The sequence below is a fragment of the Homo sapiens genome, chromosome 15, assembly GCF_000001405.40.
Source record: "Homo sapiens chromosome 15, GRCh38.p14 Primary Assembly".
In the NCBI taxonomy this organism is placed as follows: Eukaryota; Metazoa; Chordata; class Mammalia; order Primates; family Hominidae; genus Homo; species Homo sapiens.
The window spans coordinates 87,895,097-87,913,148 of NC_000015.10; the positions used below are offsets into that span (position 1 = coordinate 87,895,097).

At 43.4% G+C, this 18,052-nt stretch overlaps 1 protein-coding gene across 15 annotated transcripts in view; it reads right to left on the reverse strand.

Moving 5' to 3' along the window:
* NTRK3 (neurotrophic receptor tyrosine kinase 3) overlaps positions 1-18,052 on the reverse strand; it is a 396,989-nt gene that overhangs the window by 35,346 nt on the left and 343,591 nt on the right. The window contains exon 16 of one of the 15 annotated variants that reach the window (XM_017022254.3): positions 13,393-13,467. The exons of the other annotated variants lie outside the window; for them this stretch is intronic. Coding sequence (XP_016877743.1) covers positions 13,393-13,467 — 75 coding nt within the window. The remainder of the gene's footprint in view (positions 1-13,392; positions 13,468-18,052) is intronic. 15 annotated transcript variants of the gene reach the window in all.

Below are 18,052 nucleotides of genomic sequence, written 5' to 3' on the forward strand. Positions count from 1 at the left end.
ACACTAAAGCTGTAGCTAATAAACACACAGGGTTGGAAGTTACCCAGCCTACTTGTAGACATAGAAACCTTGGCCAGAAAAGCAATGACTTGTCCAAGTCACTAAGAATAGTAAATGAAACAGAACTGAAGTCCCACAGTGTCTGGTTATTGTTTTTAATGTAAATGTACTACTGTACTATAGCATACATACACAAAGGCAAACAAATCAGAAATATACAGATTGAGTCTCTGAATGAAGTTTACATTTTGGTTCTGAGGATGAAGCTCGGAATTTTTTATCTTGCCCAAATTCCTATCTAAGGGGTCTGGGGAGTATGCCCTAGAAACCACAAATTCTCATCACATGGGTTTTATTTAACCTTGTATATCATGACTTATTTTCCAATCTGACTTTGGCATAACAAGGAAAAAAATCAAAATGTTTTACCCCAAAATATATTTCCTTGCCATACCTTGAAATTGCCCTGCAAAGTCTCTCGTGGGAAAAATCCACATTATATGGAGAATCTCCTTCCCCCTTTGTTTTCCTTCCTCTCTTTCCAGATCTGGGAGATAATCAGCTAAGAGCCAGGCACCCTTTTAGGTCTGATAAGAAACATTTTACAACCTGCTCGCTCTCTGAAGTCTGCTTTCTGAGAGATTCCTCTGCACAATACAACTTGGTCTCCACAATCCTTTATCTTTTTTTTTTCATTTTATTTTATTTTATTTATTTATTTATTTATTTTTATTATACTTTAAGTTTTAGGGTACATGTGCACAATCCTTTATCTTAACCTGAACATTCCTTCCCATTGATCCAGATCTTCAGATAAATTCAACCAATTGTCAACCAGAAAATGTTTAAATATACCTATAGCCTGGAACCCACCCTCACCTCCCCACGTTGACTTGTCCTGCCTTTCTGAACCAAACAAATATATTTCCTAAATGTATTTGATTGATGTCTCATGCCTCCCTAAAAGTATATAAAACCAAGAGGTACCCCGACCACATTGGGCACATGTTCTCAGGACCTCATGAGGGCTGTGTCTGGCCATGGCCATGGTCACTCATATTTGGCTCAGAATAAATCTCTTAAAATATTTTACAGGCCAGGTGCAGTGGCTCACGCCTGTAATCCCAGCACTTTGGGAGGCCGAGGCACGCAAATCATGAGGTCAAGACATAGAGATCATCCCGGCCAATATGGTGAAACCCTGTCTCTACTAAAAATACAAAAATTAGCTGGGCGTGGTGGCGCACACCTGTAGTCCCAACTACTCAGGAGGCTGAGGCAGGAGAATTGCTTGAACCTGAGAGGCAGAGGTTGCAGTGAGCCAAGATCGCACCACTGCACTCCAGCCTGGTGACAGGGTGAGATTCTGTCTCAAAGAAAAAAAAAAAAAAGAAAGAAAGGAAAGAAAAAAATATATACATGTATATATATTACAGAGTTTGACTCCATTCATCGACAGTTCTATAGTTTTCCTTCTTTTTATCCTGGTGTATATAGACTTTGAGTCACCTGGTAGAACTCTGTGTTCTCCCCAGTTTGTGTGGGTGCATGCCTTAGGGATATATTAGTTTGGATATCCTTTTGATTTCTGATCTACAATACATGAGTGTGCACTCACAGATACATGTCCATCTGTGGCCTCGCCCCAGTTATGGAAACCCCACAGATGAAAGCTTTATACAAGAGGTTATGACTTTTCTACAGTGACATCAGACTTCTGACTTATTAAGTCAGAATTGCTTGCCTTCTTTTTGCCTCTCCTCTTCCCAGTAAAGCAGGACAGACTATTATCTAGCTTCTTAGAGACAAACTGAATATCTCAGCCCCGGGTCTAGTAGGTGCTTGAGATTCTTTGGAGGGAAAATGCAGCGAAAACTCACAAAGACATCATTATAGTATTGCTCCCTCAGAGCAGGGCTTTCTGACAGTTTACGCAAACAGCATCCATTTAGCAGAATCTCAGTGGAACGGCTGTCTCAGTCTGAGCCTCTAGCCCCAGGATTAGGAAAAACCCTTGGAGTCTTCCAAAAATACAAGGAGTTGAGAGCCAAGCCGTTTAGCAGTGTGAGCCTAGAGGATAAATAGGCCCATTGTGATTCTCCCCAGTTCTCTTACCTAGAGCTGCATCTGCCAGGAGCAAAGTTCTGAGGGAAGCCCCAGGAACACATGCCTTTTATAACTTATTTTGTTTTCCTCTTTCTTAATCCTGCCTAAATTCTAGCACTCTTTCTGACACCTCATTGTCCTTTACTGCCCCCAAGCAATGTATTTTTTAATAGAGCAGACATTTCAACTCCAAAGATGTGAGTTGAAAAATAATTTGGCCCTTATTTCCTTTTGCAAATGGCTCCACTGAGGCCTCCTGGCTGCACTAATATCTTCTAGTGGAAACAAATTTTAAGATGATGTTAAAAGAGCTCAAGTCACTCAACAAAGCTGGAGGTCTCAACCAAGCTCAGATCCATGGATCACACTAGATTCAAAGGGATCCACTCAGCCCCCAAATGCAGGTTATAATACCATATTCGTAAGTAAACAATGGTAGAATACATCCTTTTAATGATCCTAGATTTTGAAAAATCTGACCCTGCATAGCTCAGGTACTGAGAGTTAGGTTCTAGTTTAGATTCAGACTTATTTAGCCAAAATAAGATAATTTCTTTCAAATAAGATTGACTTTACTAAATAGTTAGAGGCCAAAAAATATAAAAATTATAACATATCAGAATTATATACATATCCTGTGTATACAGGATAAGGAAATAGAGGATCCAAAAGAACGAAGGAAATAATGTATAACTCAGCCAATGCTCTTTGCTAGCTAAGCAACCATAGAGAATTTATTTAACCTCTGGAAGACTTGACTTCCTTGTGCATAAAAATGGGAATAATAACACACTCAGAACATGTGCAGAAATTAAATGAGATAGTAAGTGAAACAGAGGCATGGCAAGGCTTCAAGACACCTGCACATACATAATACTTTGAATCTAAATCTTCCTTGAAAGATGCTAATTTCTCAATGATTATGATCATGTGTGTTACACAGCACTTCCTATTTTTTCTAAGGACTTAGACATTCTGCCCAATTACCCTTACAATGAGACAATAATCCCAAATGTATGGATGAGAAACCACTTCAGGGATGATATGCCAGCCAGTCAGCATGGTAAAGCCAGAGATAGAAGTTAATCTATTGCCGCACTCCAAGTCTTTCTTTTTGTGGGTTTTGTAGGTTCAAGGCAGTTCCACCTAAGTTCTGGAAGCAGTTTAAAGGAGCTGCCAGATCTGTGTGACTGCCAGTCTGGATCCTTGGATTCAGGCTGTTTACAAAAGCGGGGCTTAGACACTCAGGAGGAGCAGCTAAAGTGAATTTTGAAGACAAGGGTGGGCTGGTTAGAATGTGCAGTTTTCTACGGTGGACTAGGCTCAGAGACTGCATATTCTGTGTGTGAAGCTTCTTTTTACTTTTTTCCACAAAAGGCAAACTTAGCTAGGAATGGGCTCACTGAGTCATCCTTTAAGCGACATTAATAATATCTCTTATTGATTGAATATCCCACCAGCTTTAAGATGATGGCATTGGATCCTTGAATCAGGGATTCTAGGCTGGGTGCTGTGGCTCACGCCTGTAATCCCAGCACTTCAGGAGGCCAAGGCAGGTGAATCACCTGAGGTCTGGAGTTCAAGACCAGCCTGGCCAACACAGTGAAACTCTGTCTCTACTAAAAAAAAAAAAAAAAAAAAAATACAAAAATTAGCCAGGTGTGGTGGCACGCACCTGTAGTCCCAGCTACTTGGGAGGCTGACACACATAGACATTTTCAATCCAGTCCCTCATCTTATTTAAATCCTGGACCCAGAGCACGCTTCTTGCAAATATTTATAAGCGAACAATACTACTAACACCATAACAACTCTAATTGCAACTGTTACTTACTAACATATCTTGGGGCTTACCAAGTGCCAGCCCAGTCATTGGGATGAATAAGAGTTGTAATGGTGTCAGTAGTGTTGTATAAATATCTTATAAATATTTGCAAGAGGTATTCTCTGGGTCCAGGATTTAAATAAGGTAAGGGATTGGATTTGGAACTTCTATGAGTGCAGGTAGATGGGCATAATTAGTGGTAAGGGATGGTAAAGATTTAGGCTGGATTAGGGAGTAATTTTCAAGTGTCTTGGACTGTAGCTCTTTCAACGTAAGGCTGTCTTGAGGAAAGATAAGTCTTTGCTGGTTTGTGCTGCTATAATAAGCAAAAGGAGACCCACCCCTCCTTTCTCCTTCCCCCACCCCCTCAATTTCTGTGCCCTTAATCCCCTGCCCCTTTCATGAAGCATTCGAACTCCATCAGTCAGGACACACATTGCAGGTTGGACAGATCAGCCAGAAAGGCACAACTGTAGCTAGAGGTAATATCTACTACTTCCAAACCACTCCAAATTAACCATTCTAGCTGGAGGGAGACCCGAGCCTTTGGGCCCCCCTTTTGTTTTATTAACTGCCAACAGAAAATGCCAGAAGGAGCTGGAGAGGGAGCCCAAAAAGGGGGACCAGGAACACTTTGCATATTTTAATTTCTTCAGTAAACAATACATAGCACAGCAGAAACCTACTACTGATGGCCACATCCCCAGGCAAAGGGTAGTCGGATGCACATCATGGGAGAGGACATAAAGAATATACAAGTCCTTCGCAGGCTACAGGCTGCCTTATCTAGCTTCTCTGAGCTGGAGCTGAATTTCCCATCTGTTCACTGACTGGCTGCTGGAGGAGCTTTGATAAGGGCAAGGAGAAGGTGGAAACAATTAGCCTTCTCACACACCTAAAGCTTTCTTGGGAGTTGAATGTACTCTTCATCCAATGGAAAATGGGATTTGTCTTTGAGTCATGAAAAAAGACCCTTTAATTCTAAAGGAAGGATGCTTGCTGCTGAGAGGAGAGAGCTCATAGATCACTTGCAGGACCACAGACATGAAACAGTTGATAAAGTCCTTTATCTTCATTTAAAAGTGGGGATTCAACTTGGAAAAAATAACAGCGTTAAATTCTCAAGGAAGTCTGAGGTTGGGTGGTAACAGCAGTCAAAGCACTCTGGGAACTGCAAGGTGATTCATCAAAAAAAGAAGTACCACCACTCTTTTTAAGCACCATAGGTTTCTAGTTGGGCCTTTCCCTGGGAAATGCCAGGAAAGGGGCATCTATTAACCCAGCCACACAGCCCTGGCAAGGCCTAGAGGCATCTTTAGCATCCTGGAATGGGGACAGGCAGAGGGAAGGTCTGGCACCAAGATAAACCAGGAACCTTAGTGAAAAGAGCACTGGATTCAGACTCAGGTCATCTGGGTTCTTGTCCCAGTTCTACTAGTGTGCCATCCTGTGGTCTTGGCAGCCCATGTTTTCTTTTGGTCTCAATGTTCATACTTGGAATAATGACATAGTTGGACCAGAGTTTTGCTAAGATTCCTCTCTGCTCAAAAATTGCATGAGCATAATTTTCTCATCTGAATCAGGACATCAAGAACACTGAACGAAAGCTCAACTCAAGGCCCTTCCTAACACCTGCAGCATCAGCAGCCTGACTTTACAGAGGGTGTGTGTGTGTGTGTGTGTGTGTGTGTGTGTGTGTGTGTGCTGTAGGCAGTGAAGGAGAGCATGGGCCAGAATTCAGGAGCTCCACGGCCCTGCCTTAGTTTGCATCATACCTCCTGGCTCACCCCTGGCCTTCTGTGTTCTCATCTGCATAATTGGTAGGGTGAGGGAAAGACTTCGACTAGTTGACCTTTAGGGATCATCCAGTTCCAAAAGGGGATGATTTGGTCAAGTAGAGACTGGATAATCTTTGGATGCCCCTCCTGGCCCTGTGAGAAGGTTAGAGCTCTGAGGTCCACTTCGTTCCACACAGCCTGCTACTCTACAACTGGGTCCTGGGGTGCCTCTTGGCAGTGAAGGGTGTAGGCCAAGGGCAGGTTCAGATGAAAGAGATGGAGGAGCTGTACCTCCATGCAGCATCTGGGATTCCAGGCCATAATCTGAGGCCTGCAGCTGTGGGCTGCTCCATCTCTCTTTATAAACAAGCCCTGCCTCTTGGCTTCTCCTTCAAGGTCAAAAGGCAGGAGAGGACTGCTCTGAGGATGAACCTACAAGAAAGTCTTAAATGTGAAGCCAGAAATCACAGTTGGAGAGTTGTTATTCAAAGGCATTCCTCCTCTGTTAACACACATTCCTGTTTCCAAAAAATATAGAAGGGGAATTTGAGCAGGTGGACTTCTTGTTTGTAGGCTAACGAAACTGGGATGAAGTATCTTTCTCAGGGTCACCTAGTGGGTCCCCAAAAGGTCAAGCCAGGCTGAGTGCTGGGGTAGGTAATCCCCAAGGGTAGAGCCCTCATCTTAATTTATCTGAAGCTCTGGCCTCCACCATAACAGAGGTAGAAAGAGATGCTTTCAGCATTCCAAGTTTGGGAGTTGAGTTGGGCTAAGTTCTTGTCCCAGTGAACATGGATATAGAACAACTTATTGCATGTTTATACTGTGCTAGGATATATGCTAAATGAATTAAAATGCACTGCTTCGCTCAATCCTCCTAAAACGCATTGGCTATGAAAACTACTATTATCGACAGCATTGTATTGAGAAAGGAAGAAAGGAAGGAGGAAAGTTGGGGAGGGGGGGAGAGGGGGAGAAAGGGAGAGAGGAAGGGAAAAAGGAGAGGAAGAGGTTAAGCATCTTATTCAAAAATGCTTGAGATAGAAAAATCCAAGTCTTGTACCCAAATTATTCTGATTCCAAAACCAAAGTTCTTATTCACCACCAAGTTAAAGTTCTTATACATTCTAAATTAAAAAAAGACTCATTAGTAAAAATGTTTTAAGGCATGTAAATTGATAGGTTAGGGTGGCACATTTTGGACAATGTGATAGAAATCCTATAAATGTGATTTATATAAAACACTCAGAAAAGCTGAAGGGGAATTTTCATTCAGAAATATCTAAATCAGCAGATTCAATGAAGTAAGATGGGAACCTACACCAGCCCAGAGAGCACTCATAAAGATGACATCAGAAAATATCTATGTTCCTCCATAGACAGATTGGAAAAAAGAAGCCAGTCATGGACTTTGCTTCCTGTGTCTTTCTCTTGGAGCTTTTCTCTGCATAATGTCCCGTCCCACTCTTGTAGAAATGGCACTGATAATTTCTCACCTCATCAGCTAGGCTCCTGATGGCAAGGCCTCCCTGACGAGGACAAGCCTTCACTACTGAACATCTAGGTCCCAGATAATGTGTTCAACTGTGGCAGCATTTGTCATCATAATTTTCAAAATACATTAGCCTTGATTGTTTGGAAATCTATTTCCCGTTAACATCTCTTTCTCTAAGATCATGGTCTTGGGCAGACAAAGAGAGAGGCAGAGAATGATGATGAAATTATGGAAAGAAGTCAGAGTAGAGATGAGAAGGAAGAAGGGAGAGAGGAAGCAACAGGCTCTACATGGTGACATTATTTAGGTCTTAGAATGAAGCCAACACTAGAAATAATTCCTAAACCTGGAAAACAAAAATTTTATTATAAAGACAGTACATTGCCTTTTTGCTTAAGGTAGAGAGTTTTCTGTCACAGCTGAAAAAATCCTGAGAAAACACTAGAAAATTCGACTCTCAAGTTAGTTTCTATTTCTAGAAATACAATGTCTATTTCTAGAAATGAACCAAAGAAAAAAGATTCAGAGAGATCCCAGAGGCCCATGTAAAAACCGACATGCCCAGCTAGGATGAAACTACGATAAGCCTCCTCTCACCCCGACTCCCCCTTGCTCCTTCCCCACCCTACATGTCTGCACCCAAATGCCAGAGCTTCACTGGCCATAAAGCCTCACAGGACACAGTTCACATTGTGGGCTCTGAGACCGGTGTCTGAACTAAAAGCTTTCCTTGGAGGGCTGCATTTGCCCCGGTGCCAGGATTCTTCAGCCGGATGCATCTGCCTGGAGATCTACTTTCCATTAGGGCTAGCCACAAGTGGCAGGAAGAGAGGAGGCAGCACTAATCAGAGGAACCAGCTAAGGCTCAAGAGAGGTGGGCACCAGTCTAGAAATAGCAGAACCCACATCATCGCCAGACAGGAGGCGGTGTCACAATTCTTGTAGTCATATGAATTTCTCATGAGTCATTTGTCCCAAAAGAATTGCGGAAGCAAAGGGACTTGACCAGCTTTGAAGATAAGATGCAGACCAAGAAGTCCCATCACGAGACTAGGGCAACATTCTCAGTGAGTGGTCCTGGATGGCACAACCAGAAAGATTCCCTCCCCTCCTCCATCATCTTCCCTGTAGCTCCTACAACCCCTTCCCTTGAAGACCTGAGCCCCACTGCATTCCAGGCCCCTTTTATCATCCTGTTCTAGGGGCTTGCTCTGCTCTGAGACACTATATTTCTTCAGATCATCAGAAAGCAAAATGCTAAGGCAACTGAGAGTTCAAAGATTAATTACTATTTAATGGGCAGATTTCTTATCTCTGGATAAATCTCCAGTTAAGAACTCAGAGGACTGGGACTAAGAACAGACAACCAAACTCCCTAAACTAATGAGGACATGCGATACCCTGTACATTCACAGGCATCTTACACAGGGGACTGTATTGGTTTTCCCCAGAAGGCCAGTCTTAATGATCTTGGATCACAAGACTTGGGATAGCAATGAAAAGGGGGGAAACCACATTCCACAATTTCAAAACCATTAAACTACATTGGTGTTTGACTTTGGGAAAGTCCTAGTGGGTTTTAGAATAATCTCTAGCTTATAGACATCTTCACTGCAACCAGACCCTCTCCACAACCTCAGTGATGGCTGGAAAACACTCGCATGCCAAGAGGGGTGAACAAAGCTTGTCTTATGCTCTCCTTGTGTACCCTGGACATGGAAATAAACAGGTGTGTGTCCTTAGGTTCCTTAGAAATACTAAGTTTGTTTGGGTGGGGAGATATCCCAGCATGCTACTTTAAAGGACCTGTCTATGACCAAGACATGCCCTGCTAGAATGAAACTACAATAAGCATTTTTTTTTTTTTTTGAGACGGAGTCTTGCCCTGTTGCCAGGCTGGAGTGCAGTGGCGCAATCTCAGCTCGCTGCAACCTCAGTTTCCGGGGTTCAAGTGCTTCTCCTGCCTCAGCCTCCCAAGTAGCTGGGATTACAGGCACATGCCACCACGCCCGGCTAATTTTTTTTTTATTTTATTTTAGTAGAGACGGGGTTTCACCATGTTGGACAAGATGGTCTTGATCTCCTGACCTCATGATCCATCCGCCTCGGCCTCCCAAAGTGCTGGGATTACAGGCGTGAGCCACCACGCCCAGCCACAATAAGCCTTTTAATATGGGCCTTTGGGATCTCTCTGAATCTTTTTTCTTAGGTTCATCTCACCCCTGAAATCCCGGCGTACTGCTGTAAAGGATGCATCTATGACCAAGTCTCTAAGCAGATTCCCAGACCGAGGCACACTCATGACCAGGTGCCCTTGCAGACTTGTGTCTAAGGCATGGGTATTATTCTTTTAAGCTTCAGCTAAGCCCTTCTGGAATTAAGACATATCTTGTATGTGTGAGTGGCAGGGCGGCCCATATGTAACCAGAAAAAGAATGACTATCCTTGTCAGTTTGAAATATAACCAGACACTTCTCATCTTTACCCTGATTCCCAGCTGGGACTCCACAGAGCACACATATGCAGAAGAGAGAAGCCAACTGTGTTGAGATGCGTTAATATTTTAGAAGAAAAGCTAATTTGCTTGCTTATTTGTTTCTACCAGAGGGAGAACTCAGATAAGTGAAAGTGGAGTATCCTATGGAGGAAGATGAATGATGCTTTCCTCCTCAGCCCTCAAGTATCAAAATGACGGGGGAAACTAGACAAGGGTCCCTAAAAGCAGTAAAGAACCAAAACTTGATGAGGTAACCCTACCCAATAGTTAGAAGACCACAGCGAGGGACATCCCAGTGCTTGGAGTATATTTCTGTGATGGTAACAATGTAATGAAAAAGAAAATCCTTGCCAAATGACAAGAGTATGGCTTCTCTCTACCCCTATGACACATGTTGTGAAACTAAGAAACATTGTCTTGACATGCATAGAGACCCTGGGATAAATATGCTCTAAAACTCCAAGGAAAGTATAGCATCACAGGTAGAAAATCTTCTACTTTATCACAAAAAGAAAACTGGAGAGGGTTATTGGCATCCCAAAGTAATTCTTTACTTTGTTGTAGCAGGTCTCTCTTCCGCATCTAAATGGTGATTTGCTTGAAACATAACCTTATCAGGAGGTTACCATATTATGCGTAAAACAACAGGTTACCTATTTGTTTTCTGGGAAATATATGAAAGTATACCACAAATAAATGCAACATTACACAGTGATATTTAGGTTAAATATAACCATCATATCTGAGATGTGGTCCAGAGACATCCTGTTTCTTGCTAATAGCATCCTAAGACTGGATGAGGTCAGTCTGTGGATTCCATTCACAAAAGACAGACAGGAAATTTAGGATTATCTTCAAACTCAACTCTTCGCTCAAACCCCTGTCGAAAAACCTTTGTTCAGTCTCAGCACTCTGCATGCATTCTCCCCACCTCTATTATCTATACATAGACACCATGCATGGTCCCTCCTTCCAACGTGCGTGAGCCCCAGGAACACTGACTCACTGAAGTTAAGCCTCCACCTCAGCCGAGGATGGAAGCCACACAGGAAGATTTACTCTCATGCCCCCAAAATTTCCCATGCCCATCCCCATTTCCAGTGACAACACTCAAAAAACAAAGCAGCAGAAGTTGCTGTGCCTTCATGCGCAATCAGCAAAGACATGGACAACCACCCCAACACATCTACTGCTCCTGATCCAGCCATGCAAATCAGCCCACACATGGGACATTCGGGTCACCCAGTGAGTCCTTTTCTTACTTCCACTTCCTGCCAACTGGTATCTGTGGAAAGATGCTGAGGCTAACTGATAAAGGCAGAATTTCAGACATAATTCAACCTGGATTTAAATCCTGGCTCCACTATTTTCTATTTCTGAGCTTAAACATCAGTGTTCTCATCCTCAAAGTGGAACTATAATAATGTCTTCATGAGAACAGAATAAATTAAACAAATTAATTTACTCAAAGCCCCTATCAAGGTGCCTGGCTAGAGCAGGTGTTCAGCAGCTGTAAGCTGCCCTTCCGTTACCCCACAGAAAGGCAGATGGGAGAAGGAAGGGCCTTAAGATGCTCTGAATGGCCAGCACAAGTCAGAGATTAAGGGACTTTCTACAAAGATGCTCCCCAAATAGATGAATCCACAGCCATGTTCACTTTCTGATGCCGTCTCAGTGGTGTCAGAGGGAGATGAAACCCGTGCTGACCATCAAGCAGACAAGGTATCCTTCCAGTGCCACAGCCACCTGGTTTTCTCTCTTTGCTTTCTGTCATTATGAAGTTTGTGAGTATTTCTTTATTTGGACTCAGAATTTTCAGATACGATTTCATCCATACAGTAAGTTTTAGCTGAGTCATGAAAGCCCTCCTTGGAGAAACTAAATAAACTAAAATATTTCGTATTCTTTAAGCAATGCGATTGCTTTGACGTCCCTACCTAAACTACACACACACACAACACTAACTACCACCACCAACACCACCACTATTACTACCACCAAGTACTTCTTTTTCTCCTCTCTGCTTTCCTTCTCTCTTAAGAACCTATCACTCTTAATTTGCTATATACTTTACTTTATCTTTATTTTTTTATCTCCCTCAGTAAGGGCAGCGATTTTTGTCTGTTTTACTCACAGTTGTATCACTGGCACCAACAATAACTCAGGATACATGGATAAAATGACTGTATGCCCCAATTTACCAAGAAAGGTCTAAATTTATGCCTGTAGCTCCTATTTAATTATTAATAACTTCCCTTTTCATTCTCAGAAGGGTCCAACTTTAGACAATCAAACATACACAGTTGATTAATATTAAATGTTTGTTGAAATTAATTAATAAATTTGACCAATTTGATATTTTAATGCAACCTGTCAGTTCCTAAAACCAAGAGTTTGAACCCGATGCGACTGAAATACATACAATATTTTAAAAGCATGAGAAGAGATTGATTAATCTTCTATAATGGTTCTGCTTGCAAAATTCTCATAAGGCTGCCAAGCATGTTTGTTCTGAAATACCCTAGCTATACACACTTGTTAGTACTGAAAATCTTAAACTTTCATGCTGTTATTAGGAGCAGTGTCAAGAAGAGAAACCTATAAAACTGATCCTGAGAGAACCTGGGAGGTTATGCTTAATTTACCTCCCTAACCAAATTATGAGAGAAATGAATGAAACTGTAAAAGCCTTCCTTCCCATGCACCTGCCCATAAGACTGCAGTATCAGGATAATACTGTATATTAGAAACCAGAAGCTTCTCACTTCAAAACTGACTTAACTACCGCACGCCCTGTCAGTGTTAGGAAGCAGCCTCTGGCCTGTGGAAAGCCTCTCAAGATGGCAAGCAGAACTTGTGTCTTCTTAGTCTGGGATGGATCTTTAAGGCTGAGTAGGTGAATTCTGTGGTTCTGTTTTCCCAAGTGAACTGTTTCCCAAATAGAAGAAAAAAGCCCCCAAGCAAAAAGTGGAAGGAAGTCATCCAATACAGTCTGATGATCAAGGTAAGACAGATGGAACTTCGACTGACTCTGCAGTATGTCCATCTCCCTGCCAGAAATTACCATAGAAATTAAAATGGGGAGGGCAAAAGCCTCCCTGCAAGCACTGGGGGATCTGACTCAGTCACAGAGGATCTGTAGTGACCATCCTGAGCATCAGGTCTGTTAGACCACGCTTCATCTGAGGTCAATGGGGAGACCTCCAGTTCTTAGACCCTCTACTCTGTGCAATTAGGGCATTCTTATTTCCTTACAGGGAGTCTCCTATGGAGTGTAAGCACCCAAAGTGTACTCAAAACTCAAGGTCACACCTCCTGAAATGCAAGAAAGCAGCCAAACCACTCGTCCATGCAGAGCCTTCAGCCTCCACCACACGCACAGGTCTGGACAGAAGCCCTGGCAGCCATGTGAACTCCAGCGGCTCTCCCGGCTGTGCACCTAATTTTAGCAGATTATGGCCCGCCACCCCCCACCATGCTGTCTCCCCATGAGACATCCCAAGCACATCAATGGCTTTGGCAGGAAACTTCCATGGAAGTTAAATGATGCTCCACGGTGGGAGGCAAGGAAAAAGAGGTTGGAAGCAGGCCCCAGCCCATGGAAGTGCCTCTCCAAAGCCTGCAAGCTGTCTGTCTGTGTGTGGACTGCCCTGCCCAGCCCCCTGGCCCCAGAAATCAAATCCAGACTCACTGTGGAAGCTGCCGTTGCTGCTAGCCTCTGCCGCTGCCACACCACACTGAACGGGCCCTTCTGGCATGGCCCTTCCTGACAGTGAATGAGGGGAGAGAGTGGGAAGGGGGAGAGAGAAGAAAAGGGATGAAGGGAGAGGAAGGAAGCATGGAAGGATGAAAGGAGGAGCATGAGGAAAGCAGGGGGATCTTTAACTGAATGGCGTGTCTCTCCTGGGCAGGGCCTCAAACATTTGTCCTGCATCATTAGGGAGGACAGCGGAAGACCGCAGCAACCCACCTTCAAGGCCCTTACTCTGGAGTCCGCCCAGAAACACAAGGCACTCGGGGCTCCACCAGCACATCATGACACCACTCCCAGCACATGACACCCAGCTGTCTTCCTCTGTGGGACATGAAGACGCAATGGGCTTCCCTCCACGAGCTTGGTTCTACTCCCAGCAGGAGCCTCCCAGCCAACCTACTGCTTGGAGAGGAAGTGGGTTCTATCTAGAATTTTCAGCCCCTTAGGTCAAAGAAACAGCGCTTTCTCCAAAGCTTCTGAGAGAATTATTGCTCTTAGTGTGTCCCGCAGAAAATCCCTGAATTCACCACTGCTTTTAGGGCTACCCAGATTCCCTCTCCTTTCCTTCCTGATTTAGAAAGGTTAACTCACTGAATGTCACCACCATGGAGCCTCAGCCCTCCTCCTCCTTGCTGTCCATGGAGTTAACATTTGTGTTCCCCCTCACCACTCAGGAAAAAAGCTCCTAAGCAAGGCCTTTCCCTTGAAAGGGCTCCTGAGAAGTGAGAGGAGGGGGGTGCATGAGGAGGGACTCACAGTAACTTAGCAATGGCATTTCTCAAGTGCTTCCAAGTCAAGGGCTGTGTGCAAGAGACAAGAGACACAGTCTCTGCTCTCAATTGAGTCAGAGGCAGAGAAGCAGCACTGGAATGACCTGGAGGAGAGGCAGATTCATGAAGTAACATGTCCCTGTGCACAAACTCATAGGGTGAGGCTGAAAAGACCATCCAGTGAAGACAATGAAATGGGGATTGCTGAGTGCTGATGGCAGGGAGGGACGAACAGAAAGAAAGAAGACGGAGATGAAAGAAAGGACAGATGGGCAGTTGGGAAGAGAAGGTGTGATGGACTGAACTGTGTGCCCCCCAACACATGCTCATTATGGGGAAGTCCTAACCCCAAGTTCTTCAGAATATGACTGTATTTGGAGAGAGAGCCTTAAATGAGGTAACTAAGGTTCAATGGGGTCTGTAGGGTGGGCCCTAATCCAATAGGACTGGGGTCCTTATAAGAAGAGATTAGGACACAAACCACACAGACGGATGACCATGTGGGGACACAGTGAGCAGGCAGCCATGTGCAAGACAAAGAGCGAGGCCTCTGAATGAATGAACCCTGTTGGCACCTTGGTCTTGAACTTCCAGCCTCCAGAGCAGTGAGAAAATCAGATTCTGTTGTTGAAGCCCCCAGTCTGTGGAGCACTGCTATGGCAGCCCGAACAAATGAACACAGAGGGCCTCATGCAAAGGTGGAAATAAGCAACTGGCGCTGGGCCACCGGGGACAGACTGGCTGGGATGGAGCCAAGGGGGCTTCTTGTGGAAGGTCAGGAAGGAGACTGGCAGGGGCTTCAGGACCCAGTAGGCCAGGGCAAGAAATTTATATTTTGGTGAAATGAAGATTTACTCACACAAGGCTCCAAAAACACAGGAGGGATGAGGAAGTTCGAGGAGCCCTGGGGGAAGAGCTCCAAGCCTGAAGGTGTGTGCGTGGATTCAGGTTTTGGACTGACCAGGCATGGACCCGGGCAGCTCCTGCCAACGTGCAAAGAAAAAGTGGCACTGAGGTGCTATAAGGAAAGACATAGCAGGCTGGTGATAAAGAGACAGGTTCAGAAATGGCTCCCCTTTGGGAAGCTCCCAAGAGAGTTTTCACGGATGCTAACGGTTGCTGAGGTGCTAGCACTCAGAGAAGCAGGAGGAGGCCATGGTGAGTTTTATTTAAAACATGCCGTGTTTCAGTCTCCAGTGAACTCTCCAGGGGAGGCTTACAGATTAAGCAATCAAAGAGAGAAGAAGTGGAGGCTGCAAATGTAAATTTCAAACAGATTCTGTGTAAAAGTAAAAAGGGGTTATAACCATGTGAGTGCATGAGGTTTGCAAAGCAGATGTCTAAAATAGCAGCACCCAAACTTAAAATGAGAGGAAGGAGAGAAACCAATGGAGCAGGGAAAGAATGACCAGGAATGGTTATAACTTGTGGAACAAAGCATAACTGAGGCATTCAACAAGAATACTATGCATCACTGGCAGTTGCAGGGGGTGCAGGGGAAAGGGTAAATTATTAATAATGTCATTCAACAATAGTTCAGGAAGGGTTAGACTTGAAGTAAGAAATTTAAATTTGGTCGTGAGAGATAATTAGTGACCCCAAAACTGCAGATTCAATTCAGTGGTAAGATCAGAAGCCCAAAAAATTAAGACAGAAGATGAAAAGTACTTATTTCAATATTCAGGCAAAGTTAGAAGGGATAGAAAGGTCAAATGAAGATTTTTCTTTAATGTAGGATAGATTGTGGATTTTTAGAGTTGAAAGGAGGGAGAAATGCCTCAAGAAAGCCTTCAGAGCAAGATAAACACAGTCACAGGGAGAGACAAGAGACAGGGCAAGTGACAGGTATTGAGGTATGAGCGAAGTGGGAAAGGATTCAGGCTGTGAATGTGTAGATATGCAGAGGGTGAATTTGGCTTAATATTTGATAGCATCATGAAAATATATACTTGACACAGTTCCTTGCACGTACATAATTATGAGTCCTTAAATTGCTCTACCACTTTGCACTTATCTAAGCAATCTCTGTTGTAGAGTTGGCTTTTAGGATCTCAGAATTAGAGAAAAGCAAAACTTTGAGATCATCTTCTGAAACCTCATGTCCAGCACAGGCATCTGTATAATGTGGTTCTAAGGATTTTCTAGAAACCCAATGGGGATGGAGAACCCACTATCTTGTAGGACGGTCTGTTCCATTTTCACACAATAAGGGTAACTTCCTGCAGCACTGTGCTTCACCACCCTCAGGTGTCAACTATCTCTAGCGTTTTCCAATCTTGCCACCCCTGTGGGTGAGGAACACATTGCAGAGCCCACTCATTGCACCAAAATAATGGAGGACAACCCTTGCATACATCTCTGTACTGAAACCTGGCTTTGTGATCTCTGATTGTTCCAAATTAGGGTCCTTAAGCATCATCCCAGATCAGTCATTCGCTGAGAAGAACACCTGTCTCCTGGTTTATGTCATTTAATGAACATTTATGAAATGTCTACCATATATCATGTATAGTCCTAGGTACAAGGGTTATATAATCAGTGAAATAAGGCATGAATACTGCCCTTAAAGAACTTCTAAGCTACTGTGAATGATTATGTGTCAATCAAAGTTCTTGAGAATACATTTTCACAATAAACATTAAAACAATTACTTCTTGCAACACATTTCAAGGCAATAGGACAATACTCCTCAACTCTGAGCACCACCTCCCTTGCTTCTAATATTCCTTCCTCGCCCTTCAGTTTCACTGAATCTGTGTTACATTTTACAGACTACAATCACCTCAAATCACGTTGCTGCTGGTTGCTTTAAGATTACATTGGAGAGCCGAAAATCTCTAAATTAAATCATCTTTGCTTGCTGCGTTGACTAGGCTTGGGTCATCCTGTTTTCCTCCTTTGCCTTGAATGGCCTTGCCACAAAGCCTTATTAGAAAAATAGATCATGGAACTCAATTATTACAAGCTCACACTTCTACTTAACCTCATGGAGACTGTGCTGTATTGGTGTGCTCTTTAAACATTCTATTCACAAGTAAACTCTCATCCCTTGAAAAACCTAACTTAACCAGAACACCAAACCCAATTCCACCCCTCATTTATTGTACAGTCTGGGGATTGATCACTAATCTCTCTGAGCTTTAATTTACTTGTCTGTAAATAGGGAGAATCATGCCAGCCCATTGACCTCATAGCACTTTGATGGTGGTTAGAGAGGAGCACTGAATTCACAGGAAGGGAGAAGAATGTCCTTGTCTTCACTCTACCACTAACTAGGTGTGTGATCTTGAGGGACATCTGCTCTCTCTCTCTCTCTCTGGCTGGCATTCAATGTATTCACCTGTCAAATAAGTGGGTTTGAAAGATGACCTCCAACTTCATTTCTAGTCAGGATTTCACAAGATTGCCAGTGTAGATGCTTACCCAAATTTCATCCAGACGTTTATCAAGGTCTCTCATAGAATACTTACAAAACAGTTGGGTGGAGTAATAAAAATGCATAGACCATATCCAGAGAATGTTGATAATTGAATCAATGTCTGCTTGGGAGCAGAACTCTAGCGGCAAACCCTGATCTTGGGCTGTTCAACTTTTCAAAAAGTAAAAAAAAATATATATATATATATATATATATATATATATATATATATATGCTTCAAGATCCTGCTGCTACATTGATAAAAGTTGGCTCAGAGATGATGGCATAGAGCTGGCAGGGAAAGCTGTATCTAGACTACTAAACACCTTGGCAGTGTGTAAAGGGGAATCAAATCTACCCAGAAACAAGGCACTTTTGCTATATACAAGTTGTAAGAAAAGAAGAAAAA